Raw genomic sequence first — 7,963 nt, forward strand, 5'->3', positions numbered from 1 at the left:
CTGAGAGCCCACAGGGCATTTGTCACCTTCCGCCATGTTACCATGGGGAACCAAGGTGCTGAGAGGGGAAGGCGTCCTGGCTCCTGGATAGCCCCTCCCTCTCTGCCAGCTGGAGGCCAGAACAGTCGGGACAAGGGGTGTCTGTGATGGTGGCGGCAGCTCTGCAGTCACAGCCCAGCAGTCTGACGCGGGGGTGGGCAGCTGAGGGGGAAGGAGGAGTCCAGGCTGGGCAGAGGCCTGGGCGCACCCACCCCTTGGCCCATTTTTTACACAACATGGACACATGTTTAACAGGTTTGCTGCTCCTTTCTATACAGGGAAACTGAGGCCCTGGGAGAGAAGCTGTTCCACAGCTCCGCCAGGACGCAGTGCCAGCTGAGAGGGCCGAGCACAGGGAGGATAAGCAAGGGCACTTTCCGTAAGGCAGAGATAGCCCAGCCACCCCCACCCCACGCCTCAAAGGCTCCCTTCCCTTCCGGGGCATTTCTGACCACACCCAGGTGCACCCCAAGAAGGGCTCTCGGTGGGGTCTGCTCCATCTGAATGGCCCACCCTGGAGGTGCTGCCTGTCTGGGCCCACTGTAAATCCAGGTTTGAACGCCACCTCTGTCACTTATAGGCGGTATGAAGTTGGGCAGAAGACTTCTGTCTCTGAGCCGGTTTCCGTGGTTATAAAATGGACACCTTAAAAAAAAAAGCCTTAACAAAAGGACATTCTCATATGTGTTAGAACGTGGTGAGCCTTGAGGACATTACGTTAAGTGATACAGCCCATCACAAAAGGACAAATACCTTATGATTCCACTTACATGAGGTCCCTAGAGAAGTCAGATTGACAGAGAGAGGAAGTGGGATGGAGTGCTTGGAGGCGGTGGGAGGAAGGGGTGTCGTGTTTAAGGGGTGTGGGTTTCAGTTTAACGAGATGAAGAGAGTTCTGTGTATGGTGGTGATGGTTGCACAACAGTGAATGTGCTTCATGCCACTGAACTACACCCCTGAACATGGGTAAGATGGTACATTTTCAGTTACATGTGTTTTATGACAGTCTAAAAAAATTGAGGGGAAAAAATGGACCTGGAAACAATGGGGACCTCCTGGCTCAGTGCAGGGGAGAATCTGGCCTTGGCCTTGGTTGTCTGTTTCTGAACTGGAACTGCTCTCTTGTGGGTATCTAGTCATCTGCAGTCCTGAGTTCCTGGGCAGGTCCTTGCACTGGGCCCCTCCCTGTGGGGATTCCTCAGGGCTGGGCAGGGAAAGGAAGGGCCCAGGCTTCCTGGCTTTAGCTGCCTTCCCTACCCCAGCCCCAACCCACATCCACCTGAAACTGCTGCTGGCCTCTCCACCACACCGGGGGCCCACGCCCTGCAGCACCCCACCCCACCTTGTCCCCTTTCAGGTGCTCTCTGGGAGAGACTCTGAGTGTATCGAGTCCTAACAATTGACTCTTGTCCTCAAAGAGAATCTGGCTTCACTAGGTGCTGAGGAGGTGGAAGAAAGATTATACCAGCCTGGGCTGACTGCGCCCCACTCTGCACAAAGCACTTTAAAAGCATTTGGGGGCTGGACGCAGTGGCTCATGCCTGTAATCCCAGCACTTTGGGAAGCTGAGGTGGGCAGATCGCTTGAGGTCAGGAGTTTAAGACCAGCCTAACCAACATGGTGAAACCCTGTCTCTACTAAAATACAAATATTAGCCGGGCATGGTGGTGGGCGCCTATAATCCTAGCTACTCAGGAGACTGAGGGAGGAGAATCGTTTGAACCCAGGAGGTACAGGTTGCAGTGAGCTGAGATCATGCCACTGCTCCAGCCTGAGTGACAGATTGAGACTCCGTCTCAAAATAAAAATAAAAATAAAAGCATTTAGTTCCTAAGACTTGCTGGGTGCAGTAGCTCATGCCCGTAGTCCCAGCTACTTAGGAGGCTGAGGTGGGAGGATCACTCAAGTTCAGGCGTTTGAGGCCAAATGGGCAACATAGCAAGACCCCATCTCTCAAATTTTTATTTTAAATTAGTCCAGTGTGAGGCCCAGCGCAGTGGCTCACACCTGTAATCCCCGCACTGTGGGAAGCTGAGGTGGGCAGATCATGAGGTCAGGAGCTCGAGACCAGCCTGACCAACATGGTAAAACCCTGTCTCTACTAAAAATATAAAAATTATCCGGGCATGGTGGTGCACGCCTGTAATCCCAGCTACTCCAGAGGCAGAGGCAGGAGAGTTGATTGAACTCGGGAGGTGGTGGTTGCATTGAGCCGAGATCGTGCCACTGCACTCCGGCCTGGGCGATAGAGCAAGACTCCATCTCAAAAAAAACAGACCGGGCACAGTGGCTCATGCCTGTAATCCCAGCACTTTGGGAGGCCAAGGCGGGTGGATCATGAGGTCAGGAGATGGAAACCATCCTGGCCAACATAGTGAAACCCCGTCTTGACTAAAATATGAAAAATTAGCCGGCCGTGGTGGTGGCGCGCCTGTAGTGCCAGCTGCTTGGGAGGCTGAGTCAGGGGAATTATTCGAACCTGGGAGGCGGAGATTGCAGTGAGCCCAGATCGTGCCACTGCACCCCAGCCTGGCAATAGTGTGAGACTGCCTCAAAAAAAAAATTTTTTTTTACCCTAGTGTGGTGCTACATGCCTACAGTCCAGCTACTCTGGAGGCCAAAGCAGGAGGATTGCTTGAGGCCAGGAGTTTGAGACCAGCCTGGACAACATAGCAAGACCCCGTCCCATTTAATTAAAATAATTCCATGGCCTCCTCCCAGCAGCCCTGCGTGGTATCATGCCCACCATGTATGTGAAGAAACTGAGGCTGCAAGCAGTGAAGAGCTTGTCCAAGGTCCCACAGAGAGGCTACCAGAGTCCAGGCCCACACCTTGGTACTGGCTTCCCCTCTTCATCCTCGGCAAGAGCCGTGTGGGAGGGAGCCTGCCCCTGTAGGGGGCAGGCAGGTGGCTCTGACCACCCGGCTGGCTCCTGTTGGGGTGGGGCTCCTTTCCCCACACCCTTGGGAACTCAACCCTGGATTTGGTGCCTGCACCCTCTTTCCTGATCTCCCCCGAAGCCCCATCAGAGAGGGGCAGTGACTTTTCCAGAATCACACAGCAGAGGACAAGGAAACGGGTGCAGCTGGGGGTGACCCCTCCAGACAGGTTACCCTTACCAGGGGTAGGCCCAGGCACCAGCCGGGCCAGGCCTGTGAGAGACTCCAGTCCAGGCCCTTCTCAGCTCTGCAGCCAGCCCCAGGCTCTGCCATTGGAACCCCAGGGCCCTCCTCCACTCCCCAGACACACTCAAACTGGAGAGAGGAACCTGAAGCAGAAGTCCCACCTTGATCATTTTTTTTTACCCCCGCTGGACCTAGCCAAGGGCTGAACAGAGTCCGGATGTTCCCAGACCAAGCACGGAGTTGGGGCGGGTGGTCAGAATCAGACCTGATTGGGACGGTGTTTCCTGCCTTGGGCAGGTGGTTTTGCCTCTGTGAGCCTCAGTTTCCCTCACCTGTGTGACTGAGCTGGGAACACTTCCTGCCTCAGAAGGAGGAGTCTGGGTGGTACAGACAAGCCCCAGGTCGGCGGGGCTGGGGCGGCTCCTCGCAGAGGAAGCAGGTGTTTCTGTGAGCGAACACACCCCACTCCCTGAACACGAGGGAGGTGTTGCAGTATCATTGTCACCACATCCTGCCCGCTCAAACAGCCGCGCCCGCCCTGGCTGTCTCATTCCAGACTTGGGGGCAGGCAGGCTGCTGCATGCACCGGGCTCCTCTCCTCCCTCTTCTGTTCCCCAGTCTTTAGGTCCTGGCCCTGGATGGGGACTCCAGGTGTCCACATGTCTCAGTGGAGGCAGCTGTGTGATTCAGAAGCTCTCCCAGTGCCACTTTCTTTCCCAGCAGTGTAGGTGGTGCGTGGACCCACCTGGTCATTAGAGGGCCCGGGCCTTCCTGTGGGGCGGGTGCTTGCCCTGGCCCGTGAGTCCTGGCATCACTAGGAGGACTGACTTCTGGCCTGGAGCTGCCAGCCCAGGGCGGGCGGTGGTGTCTGCTGGCCCCTTTGTGACCTGAGCGCTGGTAATGCTGAGGGGCGGGGAAGCTGCACTCCCAGTCCTGTTTCTCTTGGCACCGCCTGGGTGAGACCTTGGGCAGGCGGAGGGCAAGTCCCACATGGTGGCGAGGACCTGAGCCCGGTGGTAGAGGGACAGGCCTGCTGGGTTTGTTCTTACTCTACTCTGCCCCTTAATAGCAGGGGGATGTTGGCAGGTGATGTCACCTTCCTGAGCCTTAGCACCCCCATCTCTGGGATGGGGCTATAGAGGCCTGGCCTCTTGGGCATCAAGGATGACCCTAGGAGGGCCTGCAGGGGAGGCCTGCCTGGTGCCTGGCACACTTCCAGGCCCTCAGCACTGGCTGTGGCCATCATCACCCTTGCTGAGTGCCCCATTCCACCTGCCTCACATGGGGTCCTGCTCTGCCTTCCTCCTGTCCTCCCCATCCAGCATAGCCTAGAAAGATTGGGGCTGGGGAGTGTTTGGCATTTGCAGAGAGGTGCTGTTCTTTTTTTTTTTTTTTTTTGAGTCGGCACCTCGCTCTGTCACCCAGGCTGGAGTGCAGTGGCGTGATCTCGGCTCACTGCAAGCTCCACTTCCCGGGTTCACGCCATTCTCCTGCCTCAGCCTTCCAAGCAGCTGGGACTACAGGCGCCTGCCACTATGCCCGGCTAATTTTTTTGTATTTTTAGTAGAGACGGAGTTTCACCTTGTTAGCCAGGATGGTCTCGATCTCCTGACCTCGTGATCCGCCCGCCTTGGCCTCCCAAAGTGCTGGGATTACAGGCGTGAGCCTCTGTGCCTGGCCCGAGAAGTGCTGTTCTTAAAGAGTTCCTACCTAGGCCGGGCACGGTGGCTCACGCCTGTAATCCCAGAACTTTGGGAGGCCAAGGCAGGTGGATTGGTTGAGGCCAGGAATTCAAGACCAGCCCGGCCAACATGGCAAAACACCGTCTCTACTAAAAATACAAAAATTAGCTGGATGTGGTGGCGGGCGTCTGTAATCCCAGCCACTTGGGAGATTGAAACATGAGAATCACTTAAACCCAGGAGGCAGAGGTTGCAGTGAGTCAGGATCATGCCACTGCACCCCAGCCTGGGTGACAGAGTGAGACTGTCTCAAAAAGGGAAAAAAAAAAAGTTTGTTACTATTCTGGTTATTAACATTATCAGTAATCAAAGAAAGGTGGCCCATCATCTGGGCACCCCTGTTCCTCTCCTAAGAGAGACAGACACATTTGACACAGGCATTTAAAACTTGGTTTAGATAAAAATCTAGGTTCTGGGTTACAGTGTAAAGTAAAAATTGAATGTAAAGTAAAAGCACAATTTGGCCAGGCATGGTGACTCACACCTATAATCCCAGCACTGTGGGAGGCCGTGGCAGGTGGATCACCTCAGGTCAGGAGTTCGAGACCAGCCTGGCCAACGTGGCGAAATTCCGTTTCTACTAAAAATACAAAAATTAGCTGGGCGTGGTAGCGTGTGCCTGTAATCCAGCTGCTTGGGAGGCAGAGGCAGGAGAATCATGTGAACCCAGGAGGCGGAGGCTGTGGTGAGCTGAGATTGTGCCACTGCACTCCAGCCTGGGTGACAGAGCAATACTCTGTCTCTAAATAAATAAATAAATAAAAGCACAATTTATTCTAATACACAGAAAGGGCTGGGTGCAGTGCCTCACTCCTGTAATGCCAACACTTTGGGAGGCTAAGGCCAGAGGATTGCTTGAGGCCAGGAGTTTGAAACCAACTTGGCCAACATAGTGAGATCCTGTCTCTACAAAAAATTTTAAAAATTAGCCGGGCATGGGCCAGGTATGGTGGTTCACACCTGTAATCCCAGTACTTTGGGAGGCCAAGGCGGGCGGATCACAAGGTCAGGAGAACGAGACCATCCTGGCTAACACGGTGAAACCCCGTCTCTACTAAAAATACAAAAAAAAATTAGCCGGGTGTGGTGGGCGGGTGCCTGTAGTCCCAGCTACTTGGAAGGCTGAGGCAGGAGAATGGCGTGAATCTGGGAGGCGGAGCTTGCAGTGAGCCAAGATCGCACCACTGCACTCCAGCCTAGGCAACAGAGCGAGACTCCGTCTCAAAAAAAAAAAAAAAAAAAAAAAAAATTAGCCAGGCATGGTGGCACACACCTGTAGCCCCAGCTACCTGGGGGAGGCTAAGGTAGGAGGATTGCTTGACCAGGAGGTTGAGGCTGCAGTGAGCCATGATCACGCCACCGCACTCTAGTTTGGGCAACAGAGCAAGATCCAATCTCTTACAAGAAAAATTATAAAATTATAAAATACACAGAAAGGACTGGAAGGTTATTATTCAGTGAAAAGTTAACAGTGTGTAACCCTGGTGGGGATTGTAAAGCGGATTCTTCTTTTTTTGCTGCTACGCTTTTTTACAATTTTCCGTATGTTCTCCAGGGAACATCTAGTACCTTATCCCTCCGTGACAGCCATACGTCTTTCATTGTAAGAGCAACCAGCCTTGGCCGTGTGACCACGAATGGCCACAGAGAGGCATTCTCACAGAGATCTTGCTGCGTGCCTCCTGTGTAGCACAGTCTGGGTTTCCTAATGTGGCTTCTCAGCCAGTGTTTCCCAAGCTTGGCCAATCATTAGAGTCACCAAAGTTATGTGTTAAAAATCAGGTTCCCAGCCAGGCACGGTGGCTCACTCCTGTAATCCCAGCACTTTGGGAGGCTGAGACGGGCAGATCAGGAGGTAAAGGGATCGAGACCATCCTGGTCAACATCGTGAAACCTTGTCTCTACTAAAAAACACAAAAATTACCTGGGCATGGTGGTGCAGGCCTGTAGTCCCAGCTACTCGGGAGGCTGAGGCAGGAGAATCACTTGAACCCTGGAGGCAGAGGTTGCAGTGAGCCGAAATGATGCCACTGCACTCCAGCCTGGCGACAGAGCAAGACTCCGTCTCAAAAAAAAAAGAAAAATCAGATTTCCAGCTTCTCGCCATAGTAGTCAAACTAGACTCTCTCTGGGAGAGCCTGCTGTTGCTGCTGTTTTTAATTCCTTTATACACACGCAACCAGAGATGATTTTACATTAAGGCCTCTCTGTGATCACCCAGTTTGTGAGGGAGGAGAGCCTTATTCTTAATCCCCTCTCTTGAGGCCGCTCCCCTAGGAGCCTGTCATTAAGACCCACTATGTGACCTTTGGTCTTCCGAGTGTTCCCAGAATCTTGTACACACATAACTATACACACATGTGGAATTTTGTTGTTGAAGCAGGGTCTCTGTCACCCAGGCTGGAGTACAGCGACGGGGTCATAGCTCACTGCAGCTTCAACCTCCTGGACTCAAGCGATCCTCCCACTTCATCCTCCCAAAATGCTGGGATTACAGGCTAGGATTACAGGCGTGAGCCACCATGCCAGCCCCCATGTGGAATTTTTTTTTTTTTTTTTTTTTTTGAGTTGGAGTTTCACTCTTGTCGCCCAGGCTGGAGTGCAATGGCACAATCTCAGCTCACTGCAACCTCCACCTCCCGGGTTCAAGTGATTCTCCTGTCTCAGCCTCCCGAATAGCTGGGATTACAGGCACCCGCCACTACGCCAGGCTAATTTTTGTATTTTTAGTAGAGACCGAGTTTCACCATGTTGGCCAGGCTGGTCTTGAACTTCTGACTTCAGGTGATCCACCCACCTCGGCCTCCCAAAGTGCTGGGATTACAGACGTGAACCACGTGGAATTTTTAAACCTTGCTCTTTGTTTTATGGAAGTGAGTTCATGTTGTGCCCCCTCTGCATGTTGCTTTCTTTCCTCATATTTTGCGGGAATCCCTCCAGCCCTTTGCTGCAGCTTTACAGCAGCTGGTTCCCAGTGAACTGGGAGTTTTAAATGTGTCCCTCTGGTCAATCTGTTCATTAAATAGGTGGACTTTAGAAAGGAGTTCCCGATTGCTC

The 7,963-nt window shown here is 53.2% G+C and overlaps 1 protein-coding gene across 15 annotated transcripts in view, besides 2 other annotated features; it reads left to right on the forward strand.

The window, feature by feature from the left end:
- The window catches only part of LRRC8A (leucine rich repeat containing 8 VRAC subunit A), a 35,907-nt gene that overhangs the window by 16,736 nt on the left and 11,208 nt on the right, over nucleotides 1-7,963 (forward strand). The gene's annotated exons all lie outside the window — the stretch shown is intronic.
- Nucleotides 1,250-1,389: an enhancer, noted in NCBI's record as "active region_29095". NCBI's record gives its function as "activates an Ori minimal core promoter by ATAC-STARR-seq in GM12878 lymphoblastoid cells {active_cell/tissue: GM12878}" and the evidence as "EXISTENCE:reporter gene assay evidence [ECO:0000049][PMID:35858748]".
- Nucleotides 4,873-5,045: a silencer, noted in NCBI's record as "fragment chr9:131666020-131666192 (GRCh37/hg19 assembly coordinates)". NCBI's record gives its function as "represses an EF-1alpha promoter that drives an FKBP-Casp9 reporter gene in an ReSE screen in K562 erythroleukemia cells {active_cell/tissue: K562}" and the evidence as "EXISTENCE:reporter gene assay evidence [ECO:0000049][PMID:32094911]".

Source organism: Homo sapiens, chromosome 9, assembly GCF_000001405.40.
Source record: "Homo sapiens chromosome 9, GRCh38.p14 Primary Assembly".
Lineage (NCBI taxonomy): Eukaryota > Metazoa > Chordata > Mammalia > Primates > Hominidae > Homo > Homo sapiens.